At 42.7% G+C, this 17,303-nt stretch overlaps 1 long non-coding RNA gene and 1 pseudogene across 3 annotated transcripts in view, besides 1 other annotated feature; both read right to left on the bottom strand.

Annotated features, from left to right (window-relative positions):
- Positions 1 to 17,303, bottom strand: part of LINC00836 (long intergenic non-protein coding RNA 836) — an 81,224-nt gene that overhangs the window by 35,150 nt on the left and 28,771 nt on the right. The window contains exon 3 of one of the 3 annotated variants that reach the window (NR_108067.1): positions 1,833 to 1,919. The exons of 1 other annotated variant lie outside the window; for it this stretch is intronic. This is a non-coding gene — a long non-coding RNA (long intergenic non-protein coding RNA 836). Of the gene's footprint in view, positions 1 to 1,832; positions 1,920 to 14,400; positions 15,266 to 17,303 lie in introns of those variants that run through there. One more of the 3 variants, NR_108069.1, reaches the window with a different exon arrangement.
- Positions 3,195 to 3,695: an enhancer, noted in NCBI's record as "H3K4me1 hESC enhancer chr10:25983020-25983520 (GRCh37/hg19 assembly coordinates)". NCBI's record gives its function as "activates a minimal SCP1, AML or CMV promoter by ChIP-STARR-seq in primed H9 embryonic stem cells {active_cell/tissue: H9 hESC(primed)}" and the evidence as "EXISTENCE:reporter gene assay evidence [ECO:0000049][PMID:30033119]".
- HIRAP1 (histone cell cycle regulator pseudogene 1) lies at positions 5,458 to 6,247 on the bottom strand (annotated as a pseudogene).

The following is a 17,303-nucleotide window of genomic DNA, read 5'->3' as shown; positions in this document are numbered from 1 at the left end:
CTTTACTATCTGTTCTTGTCACTCTGTGTACTTTCCCTGGGTGCCCCATGTTACATGGCTTCAACTGCAACTTTGATGCAAATGGTTCCTATTTCTGTCCCTAGCATTGCGGTACCCATGACACGTCACCCACTTGGATGAAACATGGGACCTTCACACTCAGCACTTTCAAAGTCAGATTCATCACCTTCCTCCCCTAACCCGCTCCCTGTTCTGTATTCCATGTTATCAGCATCAGTACCAGCCAGAAAGCCCAGAGCCAAAGTGCACGTCTCCTTCTCACTGAGTCCCACCCTCAGACATTCACCAACACATATTAATTCTTTTTGTTATCAGTTATATTTCATCTCTCCCTCTCCATATTCGTGCTTTTGTTTCTGATTTTGTTGTCCAGACAACTGCACTTTCTTTTTGCCTCCTTTCTGCTCACCTTCCCTCTATTCATTTGTTCCCTCTATTCATTAAATATACAAGAATTCACAATTTTGTTGGTCACATTTGGTTGAATTCTTATTAAATAAAACATAAATTAAACTTTTTGAAATGAACAACTAATTTGTCTCACCAAAGTTATTCCATTATCTTTTGAAGCAACTACTATATTGTAAACTTTAATTTTTGTAACAGTTACATGTCTGTATTTTTTGTATCCAGAACAAGCAAAACATACTATTGTTTTCAATGCATATAAATGGTATTATGTATATATTAAATGTCATTTTAAATTTTATCATTTTAAGATTTATCCTTGTCCATGTATATGTGTATACAAAGTATATGATGTGTCTGTGTGTGTATATATGTCACATATTTATATGTCTGTCTATCCATCTATCTAGAATACTGGTTCACTCTACTTCTAAATTGTAGCCCAACACATACCTATATCACAATTAATTACTGATTTCTCTGCTGAATATTTACATTTTTTCCAATGAACATCATTATACTTGTTTCCTTGTACATATATGTGAAATTTTTCTTTGGTTATATACTTGGAAGTATATTTTCTGGGTCGTTTAGACTTAGAAAAATGTGTGTGACTGTGTGTGTGTCTGTGTGTGTGTGTGTGTGTGTGTGTGAGAGAGAGAGAGAGAGAGAGAGATGACACTTGGGGACTGAAGCTGGCATTAAAAGGTGTAGTGACCACACCAGGTCCTCCTCCCTTCCATGTCTCCCCTGGGCCCAGGACCTCCCTGGTGGCATCCGTGATTCTCTCTGTATGGCCTATCCATTCCCTTCTCTCTTCCTACTGGCTCCGTCTGCTGTTGCATTTCTGTTTCATCACCATGGTAGCTCTTCAGAGTCATGGCTCACTACTGCCCAGCCTCTATCTCATAGCGCTTCCGAGCTTCTGACCCCTCCATTGACTCAATCTCTCTCTGTTGCTTTATTTAAACTCTTTGGAGCCACCATACAGTAGTCTTGTTCATTTTCTGAACCAGGCTTTAGTGATGGGTGCTCCATCTCTCTCTGCTGATTTATTTAAACTCTTTGGAACCACCATGCAGTCGGCTTGTCTGTTTTCAGAACCAGGCTTTAGTGATGGGTGCTGCCCTCCTGTGGCTGCTGCAAATTGGAGATGGGCTGGGGGCTTGGGTGCTGCAATGCAATCTTCATGCCAACAGGGCCATGGGTGAGAGGAAGCTTGCCTTAGAGGGAGGGGTGACAATGGCCAGCATTCTGAGTCTGGTCTATCCACTACACTCCTATTTTCCCCCAGAACTCAGCCAGAGCATCTCTTCAGGACACGTTCCTGACCTCCCTGTCTGATTTAGATGATCACTTTTATTTCACGACCCCACATATAACTCTATGATCATGTAAAGTACCGTGATCTGTTCTTTCTGATAGATGTTAGTCAGCCTGATAGCAGGAACCACTTCTTGTCTGGCTTTGCCCAGGCCCTAGCACAGCATCTGAAACACATTAGATGATTAATAAATGAAAGAGGTTGAGTGGATAAAAAATGCCCCAGATACTAGAATAGTCAGGGAACGCTTTATTGTTGAATTGGATCTTGCACAGGTCCCTACATTTAATCTGATTACATTGGGCTTTTTCAAGCTTATCAGATTGTTTTCTCTTAATTTCAGGTAGGCGGGCCTCAATCTCATGGCAAACTGAGCACATGTTTCTCTGACCCTTTCTGTGAGCTCTTTGCTCCATCTTCACTCTCTCCAATCACCCCCACTTCCCCACCGATCTTTCCACATACACAACTTTAAAACTTTCCCCAGGTATCTAGATCTGTCCAAATTCTACCCAAGAGTGCAGGGCCCTTGAAGCCAAGTGGAAAACAAAAAGTCAAAAGAGCATCAAAGAAGTCTTGAATCTGGGATAGTCAACTAAGAGTGTTGGAACAAAGGAAGAGATGGTGAGAGGGTAGAGAGTTTGCAATTGGGATCGTGGAGGGGTGGTGGCCCTGGACACAGGGCAGAGCATGGTGGAAGGAGAGGCTGCAGGAGGTGAAGAACTGGTTACTGGAGGAGAGGAAGGTAGGGAAGGGAGGCCAGGGGATTGGAGGGGGCATTTGTGGTCACTGACTCACCAAGGAGCCTCATGAGGATGGCACTGAACAGACTGTGTCAAGGAAGAGGTGCTAACCTTATTGAGAGATGAGAGGAGCTCAACTCAGTGATGCATAAAGGGACGTAGCAAGGAGGGGTGGTGGGTGGTAGTCTGAGAATGTGAGGACTGTAGAGGGAAGAGGAAACACGGTCTTTAGTCACTGTGAGGGGCACACCCAAAACCAATGTGGGATGTGGAGAGGAAACAGCTGCCCCTTCGAGGGGCCATAAGAGGCAGAGGCCTCAGAGCAGCAAAACAGTAAAGGGACCCATCAGAGAGGTGGCTGAGGATACAAGGATTTTACCTAAAACTGACTGTGATCCCAAAGGGTGTGGTGGCAGTGTTTCAAAAGTCGAGGGTGATGGGAGGTGGGGTCAGGGTAGCAGAGGGGCTTCACATGTTGGGGTGACATGGAGTCTAGGCCTTCCTGTGGATAGGAGTCACATGGGAGAGAGGGCACAAGGAGATGCCTCCGTGGCCTCAACAAGGTCAGTGCTTGCGAAGCTTCAGGGCTGGGGGCAGGGAATGGGGTTCTTTTCAGAGACATGCAGAGCTTTGGGGTGCCCTGTTCGTGCCTAACAGTGGCTGGGTGGAAGCCGAGAGCGTGGGATTCTGGGTCGACGTCAGCTAGGCTGAGACCGGCTGCCCGTGAGAACCGGGATCTGGCTGGAGGCACCTGCATCATTACGATGGCTGTACTCACCTTTCCCCCCTTCTCTCTCCTCTCATAACCCACCCCAGGTGTGGCTGGCCCTGCCCTCTGCTCCAACCTGGAAGTTTTCACAGGCCTCCCAGCATTGCCTGGGGACCTGGGGATGGAAAATTCCTGAGACTTCCAGGTGAGGTCGGCAAGAGGGCTGCTCCCTGTCCTCCAGCACAAGAGAATTCGCTGCATACCACTCCACTCTCCTCATGTCCTCGGGCCCTTGTGCCTTCCCCCAGGACTCCCTCATCTAGCACATCCCATCACTAGATTTTACTTTTGGTCAGTGTCAATACAGTGTCCATTTATTTCACAATTTCACTGAGAATTGCACACCAATTTTGCCTCTTTTTAGAAAAAAAAAGTCTATTTTTACAAAGACATGGAATCAACCCAGGTGCCCATCAGCAGTGGACTGGATGAAGAAAGTGTGGTTCAAATACACCATGGAATACTGCACAGCCATAAAAAAGAACAAAATCATGTCCTTTGCCACAATGTGGATGCAGTGGTGGCCATTATCCTAAGTGAATTAATGCAGGAACAGAAACCCAAATGTTCTCATTTTTAAGTGGGAGCTAACCATTGGATACACATGAACATAAAGATGGCAACAATAGACACTGGAGACTCCAAAATGGGGGAAGGAAGGACGGCGGCAAGCATTGAAAAACTATTGGCCAGGTGTGGTGTCTCATGCCTGTAATCCCAGAACTTTGGGAGGCCAAGGAGAGTGGATCACCTGAAGTTAGGACTTCGAGACCAGCCTGGCCAACATGATGAAAACCTGTCTCTACTAAAAAAATTAAAAATTAGCTGGGCATGGTGGCAGGCTCCTGTAATCCAAGCTACTCGGGAGGCTGACGCAGGAGAATAGCTTCAACCCAGGAGGCAGAGGTTGCAGTGAGCTGAGATCATGCCACTGCACTTCAGCCTGGGCGACTAGAGCAAGACTCCATCAGAAAACAAAACAAAACAAAAACAAAAAACAAAGAAAAAAAACTATTGAGTATTATGCTCACTTCCTAGGTGACAGGATCACACACACCCCAAACCTCAGCAACATGCAATATACCCAGATAACAAACCGGCACATGTACCCCCAGAATTGAAAATAACAGTTTTTTAAGGCTAATTTTGTAACCATTTAAAAATTGAAAACAAAATATAATGGATAAGTTAATGTTGCTATGCTTATTTTACAACCTAATTATCACAATTAGAATTTAAATTTCCTACAAGTGACTCCAATTCAGCTGTTACCCAGGGAAAATGCCATTTTATGAGGCAGTAAACTCTAGCAGACAGAAAAAAAGCCAGCGTTGAAACAGTTTTTCCTTTTCACACAGGTCCTGGGTCAGATTTTTAGCTGCATAAAACCTTAATAGTTTTCATCTACATGTGGTCATTCACCTAATGGTTACAGCTTTGCCTTGTTCAGGGACAGGACCATGTCTCTTCCTGAAAGCTGAGCTGTGCTGGTGAGCAAAGTGCTGAGGGGATCTGGCCTTACTCACTCCACAACCCCCTCAGCCCCCAGAACTCTGTGGAAGTAGGCTGTGATCCAATACAGAGCCACATCATCCTGGGAATATTCCCAGGATCTAGTCTAGGGTTGTAGTGGAAAGCGTCCAAGGATGTTAAGGCTGAGATCAGACAAGGATGCTCTGGGAAGCCAGATTCTGCATGTTAGCACGGAAGCCACAAATCTTGCAGCTTTCTCCCCTGAAAACCACAGTGGCCCTTTGGGTTCTCTCCTTTGAAGATAGATCCACACCTATCAGGCACAATGTGGCTCTGTTGAAGGTTAATGCTGAGAGCCTTAACCCCATCGTCCTTCAGAGACAAAGCAGAAGCTGCCTCTGATCATCTGAGCTGGCAGGTGCTTCCTCAAGGAGCCCTGTGGAAAGTCACCATTCCTACACCTGGTCCCATTGTGTCCTGTGGCTCTCAGCAGTAAATGACTTTGTCTAAGATTACATTCAAAAAAGAGTTAAATTCCTGAGTGAGGAAAATTCAAAGCCCCCTCAAGCATTGCTCTTGTCAAGAATTGGTATTGTGGGCTGAAAGGCCACATTCTGCAACAAGAGATTAAGGGACTCACAGGGACAGGCAGTGCTGGAGGCCCTGCGAGAGTCTGGGGGCCTGAGGGAGTTGGTGCCACTTCACTGCAGGATGTTAGAGCCAGTTGTGTGAGAGGAGAGCTCACAGCCTGCCAGGACTCCATGTGGCAGGAGGGGCTGGTACAGATGTGTGGAGAACTCAGAGACCATCTGGGCAGTGCAGATGGGTTTAATTCTTCCTTGATCTTCTGCCATTTGTGAGCCAACCTGTTGTTCCAAGATTCTTTGTGATGTCCTCTGTACTTGCCCGGTTGGCCATCCTTGCTACTTTGATAGAGGCATTGGATCTTCTCTCTGCCATCCTCTTAGGATCTTGTTTTTTTCCAAAGTGGTCACAGAAATTTGAACTTCAGTAGCTAACTGTGGCTGAACTGTTAATATAAGTGAACTTAAAAATGTGACTTTCTTATCACTCTGGGGGATCTTCAAGCTCATCCCTGGAGAAGTCTAAGAAAGGCTACAGAACCATCAGGAGAGAAGGCCAAAATGTCACGTCCATCAGGTTCCGGGTACTATCCATGATAGCATTACCCAAAAGCTTATGCATAACAATCAGAGGTCGTTTTAAAAGGCCAGCCAGTCAGAGAGGGAACTGTCTTTGGTGTCAATGCACACAGCCTTGGAGGCAATGGTGCCCCCAATCTACTGCTTCCTTTTGAAGAGACGTCTGCAGGCTGAATTTCACAGTTACTGTCTTTTGTGTCCCCACAAAATCCATGTTGGTTTTCTAGTAACCCCCCTGGATGACCTGCACAGTTATTATGGTGTGAGCAGATGTGAGGTGGTCTCCATCATCTATCAAGCTGGACCTGAGCTCCTAGATTGTTCCTCTGCGTTCATCAAAGTCTTGGTTTTCACCAGCATCTTTACACAGTTTTATTTATTTATTTGCTGCATTAAAAAACTACACTCAAACCCAATGGCATGAATCATTAGTGATATATCTCTTCTTACGATTTTGTAGGTCCACCGCATAGCTCTTCTGTTTCATGTGATGTTGGCTGGAGCATTGGGATGTCTGGAAGTTTCCAAGTGTCCTCACTAGCCTGGCTAAATGCTGGTTGGGAGCTCAACTGGGGCTTGGCTGATAAGGCCTTTGATTCTCTTCTAGTGGATCTTGGCATGTGGCTGATAGGACTTCCTCTCATCATGGCAGCAATGAGTGAGAAGCTTAAAGGGCAGGAGGAGTTGGCTGTTACTCAATGTTGTATATGTTTTGACTTCTTTCCATTCCCATTGGGCTAAACTTTGGAAACTCAAAAGCTAAAAGCTAAAACTAGATTAGCTTACACTTTTTTTTTTTTTTTTTTTTTTTGGTGGTGGTGGTTGGGGAGATGATGAGGCCCAGAGAAAAAGGAAGTATCTGTTTAAAGAAATTAGCTGACATTTCACGAAAGGACATCCCATTATGCTTATTTTAACACTACATAAGTTTTGCATAATATCTTGTTTCATTGCTATGCAGATTTTTCACCCTTGGTCTAAGACTCTTAGCTTTCTGTAATTACATCTGCCATTTAACACACGCAGCAGGACTGAAGGATGTCTCTGCAATAATTAATTCTGAAATCTGTTGATTTAGGTAAAACTGAGCACTTTTTTAAAATAACAGGAATAGTATATTGCATTTTTATGAAAGCATTTGGTCTATCAATCTGGTAGGCAGAATAATGACCTCCCCCAAGATGTCCATATGCTAATCCCCAGAACCTGTGCATATGTTATTTTACTTGGCAAATGGGACTTTGTGGAGGTGATTAAAGTTAAGGACCTTGGGATGGGAAGATGATCCTGGATTACCTGTGTGTGCCCAATGTAATCAAAGGTGTTCTCTTAAGTGGGGAACCTTTCCTTGGGTATGCTCAGAGAAACAGATAGATCCATGGAAGTAGGTCAGGGAGATGCTCCGTTCCTGGCATTGAGAAGAGGCTACAAGCCAAGGAATAAAGGAGGCTTCTAGAAGCTAGAAAATGCAAGGAAACCTATTTACCCCTAGAGTCTCCAGAAAGGAAGATAGCCCTGCAGACACCTAGATTTTAATCCAGTGAGACCCACAACAGACTTGTGGCCTACAGAACCACAAGGTAATGCATTTGTTTTGTTTCTAGCCACAAACTTTTTACAATCTCCTATCAGTTTGCTCAATGCTACTGATGATTGTTTCTATGAGGAAGCTTTCTAAAAAAACAAACAAACAAAAAAACTTTCTTTTTTTGTACTTTTGCATTGCTTAGATTCCTCAAAAAAGTGTGCACTTTTTTTTTCAAAACAATGATTTTCTGAGGAGAAGGAGGAGAAAGAGAGGCATAAGGAGAGGAAAAGAAGAAAGCAAGGCAAAGGCAGAGGAGAAGGAAATACAGAAGATTCTGGGACACATTTCTGCTCAGATTTTATGTCCCATTGGACACTTCTTGGCCAAAACAAAGCTAGCCTCATGCAGGAGAAGCTGAATGTCAGGCAGAACCAGCTGGTGGCTTCTCTGTCCCTTCATATGCTCATGTGTGGCTGCCACATGAATCCTGAGGAATCTGCCTCACTCAAAGGGAGTGTTGGCATGGGGGAGTGTTGATATATATTTTTTGGATTAAAAAAACTATGCTGAATTTTAAAAATTGCTTTTGATGTCATGAATTCTCAATAGCCTCTGATGTGTGTTTCTGAAGCTCATTTCACGGGGATTGCATTTTCTCTCCTTGACTTATTTCTGATGAGACCAGGATGCCTTGCAGCTTTTGCCTGGCTTTTCCTGAGCACTGGGGCCTTGCCATCAGCTTCTTGGCATTCATCTGTGTTGTCCTCACAGCAGCCTGAGTGATCCTTTCCAACACGTCTTGTCACAGTTTTCCTTGCTCAGGGCAATCTGTGGCTTCCCGCCTTGCTCTGAGTAATGCCAAAGTCCTTTCTGTCATCTGCAAGGCCCATCATGAGCTGGTCCCTGTCCCCTCTCTGACTCACCTCCATTCCTTTCCCACCTGTTTCTGCCACCACAACCAGGCTGGCCTCCTTGATTTCCATCATCACTTGAAGAAAGTGCCCCCTCAGGGCATGACACCTGCTTTACCACTGCCTGCAGGGCTCTGTTCTCATCAGCTCTGGGGTCTGTTCACTCATTCTTTTAGAAATCTGCTCAAACGCCTCTTTTCAGAAAGGTCTCCTTGTCACTCTACCTAAATGATCCCTCTATCTCCTATGACTTGCTTTTTTTCCTTTAAAGAAATTATCATCAACTGTCATACTTCATATATGGAATATATAATGTCATGCTATATTTATATAATGCCTATATATGGACTTATACATGTATATAGACACAAATATAGACATTATGTAAAGTCTAATATAATGTATTAATACAAGAATAATAACTATATATAGTATAAACAACATATATACTATACATATATACATATTGTATATGCTGTATATATACACTCTATAATATATACTATGTTATATATGCTGTATATATAGTATGCATACAACATATATACTGTATAAACTATATATAGTAGTATATAATATTATATATAGTATAGGATATATAGCATACTACATTATAATATATAGTATTTAATCTTATAGTATTCTATGTAGTATATATAGTATTCTATATATAGTATTATAGTATTCTATACTATATTATATATAATTTACTGTATTAACATACTATATATCATACTAATATAATGTACTATACTAGTACCTATAATATACTATATATAATATATAAATATACTATAAAACAGTATTATATTTGTTATGTTATAGTATTAATATAGTATCTACACTACATGTAATATAGAGTATATATAGCATATACTATATAGTATATATTATATAGCCTATATATAATATATATAGTAAATATAGTATATAGTATATGTATATATTGTCTATATAGTATATACTATATAGAATGCCATACTACACATATATAACCTTTAGTGTATATGATGTCATATTACATATATAATAAACAAACATACATGCACATGTATAAGTGGATGTGCATTTATTTGTTGATGAATTGTTTCTAACCAGTAAGAATTTAAGCTCCATGATGGGAGGGACTTTTTTTTACTCTGAATCTTTATTGCACATCCTAAGTTTTGGTAATATTTGGTGAATGAAATATGTTGTAATGAATGTATAAATGACAGTTAAACTTAATATTTTTCCAGTTAAACTGCATGTATGCCTCTGTGTATTCCTATATGTCCATAAAAAGCAATGTTTTGAAATACAAGGACCAGAAGATGCCTGCCTTAGAAAAACCTAAGGATCTTGTTTAAAATGCCTATTTCGAGGCAGAGACACTGAGTCTGAACGCCTGCGGATGGGTTCTAAAATCTGCTTTGATAGCAAAGTCCTCATGAGATGCTCTCACCAAAGCGTGAGATCCAGTGGTCTGTGAAGTCCTATGAAAGAATGGATACAAGAGAAATGCAGATTACTATATTCCCTCCAAGGCTTCACTTCCCTGTTTTGATGGAGAGATAGCATGTCACCTAGAATAATGCAGGAAAAAATCACTAGAACCAAATGATACCATGCAAACAAAACACATCAGTGGTGATGTATTGTGATTATGATCAGCCCTTCTTTACACAAATTTTAAGAGACTCCAAGTCTCCTGGGTTTACACAACCAGTGTTATAATTGGACAGCCGGGCTCTTTGTCATTTCCCAGGCTCTCAAAATTAGATAATTTAAAAAACATCCACAGCAGCAGAAACCACAGCAATAAAACTAATGGCAATTTTCTTTCCTTCTGAGAAGAGTTCCCTGTCTTTGGGTCTTCTGTTTAACCCTATGTGGGGTTTTATCTAACAAGCATGCAAGACCTGGAGATCTTGCATGAACCTAACAACAGAGACTCCCAGACTCTAGGTGAGCCCAGTGATGATGAAGCAATCCTCAGGGGAGTCTGGAACTTGGGCCTGGGTGTTCAAGTCACCCATGCTTCAAAGTAATTGATAATTATTTTTACCTATTCTTTCATTCCAAAATATTTACCAATGGTATATGGGGTTATTATAACGATATACATTATCGTCATCATTGCTAACTTCTTTGGACATTTACTATGTATCTGGTTCTGTTGCCATTTATGTTGTTAACTCATTTAAACATCACTGCAACTCACTGAGGAAGGTACTGTTGTTATCATCCCCCATTTATAGAAGAAGAACACACAGCACAGAAAGCTACTACATAGATGCTGAAGTAATAAATCAAATTGAGTCAAGGCACTTACATAATGGGAAAAAACCCCACAATTTCCATAGAAGAAAATCATTTCAAGTTATTTTGGACCAAGGACAAAAAGGGTTCAGACAGGGGAATTATGGAGAGATGAACATTTAAGCTGGATATTAAAATTTTATAGGAATTATAGACTCAGAAATGATGTGTGGAGAAAAAAATGGGCTGTGAGGAGGAGGGGGAAGGCATCCCAGGCAGAAAAATCCTCAACAGTGTATCCATGCAAAAATGAGCATCTGGACCCTTGAGTGGGACGCACCAGTGCCCACCAGGATTTGGGGTTTCAAGGGTATTACACTTTGCTGGACTTGAGGCCTTGCCTTGAACTCTTGAGTTTCTCTGTTCACCAGTGGGATCAGTTGGTTAGTCCCGATTCCCAAATTAGCCTGGACATTGACCACAAAGCATAGGAACAAGATTTTAGTAAAAGTTTTTAAATACCATATGTTATACAGTAAATTAACTCAGGAGTGGGGTCCATACCTCTGCTTCTGGGCCCTAGAACAGGATTTGAAGCTCTACCTTCTGGGCGATGTCTTCAAGTCTCCTGTTACCCAGAGAAAGAGAGCAGCAGAGCTCAGAAACCCAGCACGGCAGGGCTGCAGATCGAAATGCCTCCTCTTCCGACAGTATTTTCACGCACCCTCAAGATTAAGAATCCCTGCTTTTTTTTTTTTTTTTTTTTTTTTTTTTTTTTTTTTTTTTTTTGCTAACTGCACTGTTTCTTTTCTCTCTTGGTTTCATTTTTGATCTGAAACAAACAAACATTGGATCCTGTGAGAACCAGCTAAGTTGCTGCTCTGTCCTTTGGGTTGAGAAAGCTGGGGAGAAATTCACTGAAGACTAATTTAAATCATTTCCCACTTTAGACCCTCACTGAAGAGTATTAGAAACATCTAGGTTGAGAAAGATTTGTATCCTTTCATCATAAAGAATAGCTTCTTCACTTTATACTTGTTAGGAAAAAAATTTCTCTGGAATGCAAATAACAGAATCCTACATAGAAATAGGATTAAAGAGTGAGACAGGGTAGGGTGGGGTGGGCTACAGGGTGGAAATGTGTGTGTTAGGAGAGAGAAAGGAGGGGGATAAAATATTATCCATAAAGTTGGGCTCTCCATCTGGGGCTGATGGAAGAAGAAATTTGCCTACCTTCATTGTGTAGGATTTGAAGTCCTGGTACCCAAAGGCAAAGCATCTTTGTGGGGTGTGTTCCATATCATTAACCCTGGTCATGCATGGCATTTTTCCTGGAGATAATTTCCTCTCCTAGTCTATCAATGTCAAAAATGAAATATTTAGAGTCTGTAGCTGTTCTACAAGAAAGCTACATGAAACATTGTAGCTTCTTAAGTTAAATGACTGATCACCCTCAATCACGTAATTCAGGCCCCACATGGGGAGGGGGTGGCTAACTACACAGCCTTGTTATCTATGTAATTCCTGATTTCCTTTCTTCCTACTTTCTTCTTTCTTTATGCAATGTAAGCTATAAGTACCTGGGGTAATATTAAGGTTTTACTGGGAGTATAAAATAAGAGTATGTGGACATGCAAAAGCCAAGCTCAACCATATGTAAACAAAGTCATCCTAAGTTATATTTGATAAAAGGGTGGATATAGACTATGAATGCCAAAGTTCAGAGACCAGGACAAAGCTAAGGAAGGGAATGGCCTTTAGCGGGTGCTCAAGATGGGAGGTTGGTTGAGACAAGGCTTGTGACAGGGCATCGACAACAGTCTGGGGGAGGATGCAGGGGCCTTCCAGCAGGGAGGCAGCCAACCACATCAAGGTGCATCCCCACAGGTCAGTGCGCATCCCGCGGATTCATGCCATTGTGTGCACTTGGTTTTCCACTATGCTTTCACTTCCAACAGCCAGCACCTGTACCTCTTTGAGTCCTGTGCCTGGGCCAGTGCCGACTTGGGTGAAGGTTGCCAGAGTCTGCTTTCTGCACACATGGGTGACTCTTATCCAGTGGCTCTGTGTGCTGGAGTATAAGTACTCCAGTTCTCTTACCCCTAATGGGACAGTTTGATGTGGGAACTGCTCTACCTTCAAAGCTCTCCTGTGAGGTTGAGCCAAACTCACCTTCCTGGAGACTTCACCTGGTAATTCAGCCTTGCTTACCTCACTTCCCATTCCTGTTCCACTTCCCCACTCACCTACCAGTTTTTCCTGGTAATACATTCTGAAAAATCACTTTCACGTGAATCCTTGTCTCAGAGTCCATGTGCTTCTAGGGAACCCAACCAGAATGCTTGGCAGGCATGTTCCAGTCAAGACAGGTGAGCCAGATTACTACAGCTCAGTGATATTAGCCTTGCAGATCATTTTTTCTCCTCCACACCCACACTTTCATTCCATGATCACCAAACAGCTTCCAACTATAAACCCTCTTTTCATGTGGCTTTTATACAAAGAGAGAAGGCAGAAAGAACATTTCTAGCTCACCTTGGCAGTTTTATTTCACAGTGTACATTTGGAGCTCTGGATTATGTATTAGTCTCTCAAGTGCCATCAATGCAACTCTGGCCCCAAGAGTCAGACCACGCCTGGGAAATTGACAAGTCATATTTTAAAACCTGCAAAAGCTGAGATATTTTAGAACCACATCAGGTGTCACCTTGAGAGAACTTGTTTGGAAACCACTTAGCTTTCCTTGGTAGTTTCTCTATTAGGTTGCTCTTTAGTCACCAGAAGCTGCAGTGTTGGAATCTCCTGGCCAGGTAGAGTTGAAAACGTGAATAGTAAATGTTTCCCTCATCTCCTTGAGAGGGGTCCTCTCCCTTATTGCTGTCATTTTAATGTTTGTCCCTTCCACAACTCATGCTGAAATTTAATTCTTATTGTAGGAGTATAAAGAGGTAAGACCCTTAAGAGGTGGTTAGGCCATAGGGCTCTACCTTCATGGGTGGAACTGGTACCTTATAAAAGGGCAAGTTCCACCCCATCTTGCCTTCTTGCCTTCCACCATGTGAGGATGCAGCACAGACGCTTGCACTTGCACCAGATGCTGGCACTTTGGTCTTGAACTTTCCAGCCTCCAGAACTGTGAGCCAATACATTTCTCTTTGTAATAAATTACCCAGTCTCAGCATTCTGTTAGAGAAGCACAAAATGAGCTTGGGCACCTATCTGAAAAGTGGGCAACTTATTCAGTCAGAATTTTTAGAGATAGACCCAAACACTGGGGTCAAGTTTCTTGGCTTGTGTGTTTTGTTTGTTTGTTTCTTTGCACCCTTTGCCTTCTCAGTTCAAGTGATCCTGGTGCCTCAGCCTCATGAGTAGCTGGGATTACAGACATGTGCCACTCTACACCTGGCTAATTTTTTGTATTTTCAGTAGAGACAGGGTTTTACCTTGTTGGCCAGGCTGGCCTCGAACTTCTGGTCTGAAGTGATCCTCCCACATCAGCCTCCCAAAGCACTGGGATTACAGGCATGAGCTGCTGCACCCAGCTTTTTGTTTGCTTTTTGAGACAAGGTCCTGCTCTGTGACTCAAGCTAGAGTGACAGTGATGTGTTCTCTGCTCACTGCAATCTCCACCCACTGGGGTCAAGCAATCCTCCCACCTCAGCCTCCCGGTAGCTGGGAAAGTTCCTTGGCTTATTGTGCAATTCAAAGAATCTCTTACTTACATTCTGTGAGCTCTAACCATTGTGTATTAAGAAGAGAAACACAAGTCTATTCTTGCGGACGCATTGAAAGTATGAAGTAAAAACACAAACACAGAAATCTGGAGCACTCTTGTCTTTGTCTCTCCACAACAGGCAGAATCCCAATCTAATCTTTTGCTTCTGTGCAAAATTAGTATATGGGAAGTTTTTTTTTTTTAAAGAAGGCTTAAATTTTGATTAATAAGTTCCCTCTAAGATCTTTAAAGTGATTGATTATAATGATTAAAAAGTGCTTATAAGTAGAGTCACACACTATGAACACAAAATAACCATATTACTATATTTTCCCAGATATACTTTGCTTCACAAGAATCTTAGTTGAGTGGAAGGTACTATAAGTTTCATTTAGTTTTTCTATTTCTATACAGAAGTGCCAAATTCCTGTGCAGCATTTAATTCCCTTGCTTTCCTCTTAAACATCCGTTACAAACTGGTGCTCAGGTGAGGTCATTCGCATGACTGAGAATGTGGGATCATCAGCTGTCAACTGTCAGTATAGAGAGACCAGCATTGAAGGAGGAAGCTGTTCTCAGCTATCGTGCTGAGCAAGGTCTCACCCTTTCTGACAAAGGTTTGAAATTTTGCTTTCTCGGCCTCTGCTTTTTGAGCTACAGAATTCATGAACAGGCAGCCGGCTTCCCCTTGCACTTCTGGGCTGGAACCACTGAGGGATGCTGCTGTATCGAGTTCCACCATGGAGATACAAAACTGAAAGTTGGGAAAAATCAGTGGCGATGAGATCACTCCCCTCTGTGTGTCTTTCCATTTCAGGGGACTGTTTTTCAGTGAAAACTCCAGACACTGACAACCATCATTCACAGCCTGCCTCTTTCAGAGCCAGGGCAGAGGCCAGGGCAGGTGGGAGAAATACTTTTCATTCTGCAAGGCTGCCTGTGCTGTGGAAAGAGATGCCAGAAATAGACCTGGGAAAAAGAGGAGAATGGGGACTTAGCAGATGCTTGGAGCCGTTTCTCTTGATAAATATATCTGTCCACTTCCCACTCTTGTCCGTGTCGCTGAAGGCCATTAGCACTCTATTTCTGTCTCTGCGGAGGCTCCGGGCCTGGCCCACCCTACCTCCCCTCCTGGAAGATGACCTCAAGAGGGCAGCACTCCTGGGATGAGGGTCTGACATCATGAATTATTTTTATCCCAGTGGATTGCAATATCATAACAGCACGTATCTTGTGCCAGAAAGTGGCCCCACTGCTGATAAAGAAGATACATTATTTCAAAGGTAAACTCCTTGATCTCAAAATGCCTCCCAAGGTATGCTATTTAAAGCCGTTGCAAAACGAGTAACAAAAATAGACACATCTTGAGTGTGGCCTGGAGAACAATGTAATATCTTCTCCAGTTTCCTAATCACCACAAGAAGGCCTTATGAAAAGACAGTCGTATGTCTAGATAAGGTAGGCAGCCACTTGGCTAGATTAGAATTGAGGGCCAAGAAAGGTGTCCTATCACTCCAGATCTATGCAAAGCTATCCTCTCTGCTTTCCTTACTCTAAAAAATTCTCTTACTGTGGATTCCTTTGGGTTCCATTGTGCTCTAAGAGGGGAAGCTGAATAACGCATGAAGCTGCAGCAACACCTAAGCATGATCCCTAACTGGAGAGCTGTGGATTTTAACGCAGTAAAAGGAAGAGAGTTCAAGGACAATGTGCACTAGAGGATCCAGCAAGAGGCCACTCAACAACTGGCAATATTTGGAGAAGGTTGGTGTAAGACCAGAAAATACCTGGAGCACCAAGCGGGCACAAAAGACAAACTTCAGGCAACAGAGCTTCATTAAGCTGTACCTTGTGAAATTCCCAGTTTGGTTGGCCAGAATTGGTCAAAAACCAGCTCTGGAGTCAAGCAATCCTGAAGATAAGTTGGACCTGACAGTAGTGGTGAGTGGCCCTCCTGCAATCCAGGACTGCCAGCTCTGGAACTCTTAGAATATAGTGCCTGTATTTATCAGCCCTCTCAGGCATCTGGGTGTCATCTTACATCCTTTAAACTCAGTGGGTTTTGGTGTCAATTATTCTTAGCCTCTTTTCTCTTTAACACACCTAACAGATGACACTTCCATGCAAGGCACCTTCATCAGTAATGTGGCCACAGTGTTGGCAGTTACACAACTAAAAGAGGTGAGAGTCTAGGCACATTTCCTGAGCTGCTCTAATTCCATCTTTCTTGTCAGGTTACCCTGTGGTGTGGAGAGAGAAACCGTTTAAGAACATCTGGTGTAGAAGATCAGGAATATGAAAGAGGCTTCAGGAACAAGGTTTTATTGGGAAAATTTATCAGCCTCTCTACTACAGATCAATAAAAACTGACATTAAAATCTAACTGGGTTGGGCTTAATCTGAAGGTTTCTGTGAGACAGAATCGTGGGTCTTGTCATCTGCATGGAGATTCGCTCAAATAGATGATGGTACAAAAGAAACACCCCTGGCCAGGCGCAGTGGTTCGTGCCTATAATCCCAGCAGTTTGGAAGGCCAAGGCCGGCAGGTGGTTTGGGCCCAGGAGTTCAAGACCAGCTTGGACAACATAAGGAGACCTCATCTCTACTAAAAATTAAAAAAAAAAAAATTAGCTGGGCATGGTAGCATGTGCCTGTGGTCCCAGCTACTTGGGAATCCCAGCTACATGGGAACTTGAGCCCAAGAGATTGAGGCTGCAGTGAGCCCTGATCGCACCACTGCACTCCAGCCTGGGTGACAGGGTGAGACTCTCTGTCTCAAACAAAAATCAAACAAAAGAAACACTCCAAGAAAAGAGCCAACTCTGGTTTATGACTCTGTACCCTTAGGTTGAATGCCAAGTTCATGGGAATCATCCGAGAAGCCGGGACAAGAGCTGCTGTTGATGGGAGGCTGTGAATTGTGCTTTTAGTGACTCGCTAAGCATAGAACACTGACACTCAGGGCACACTGGGTGCTGCAATTTCCAGAAGGGAAAGGAAATAAAAA

This window comes from Homo sapiens, chromosome 10, assembly GCF_000001405.40.
Source record: "Homo sapiens chromosome 10, GRCh38.p14 Primary Assembly".
Classification (NCBI taxonomy): domain Eukaryota; kingdom Metazoa; phylum Chordata; class Mammalia; order Primates; family Hominidae; genus Homo; species Homo sapiens.
This window is presented reverse-complemented; position numbering and strand designations above follow the sequence as displayed.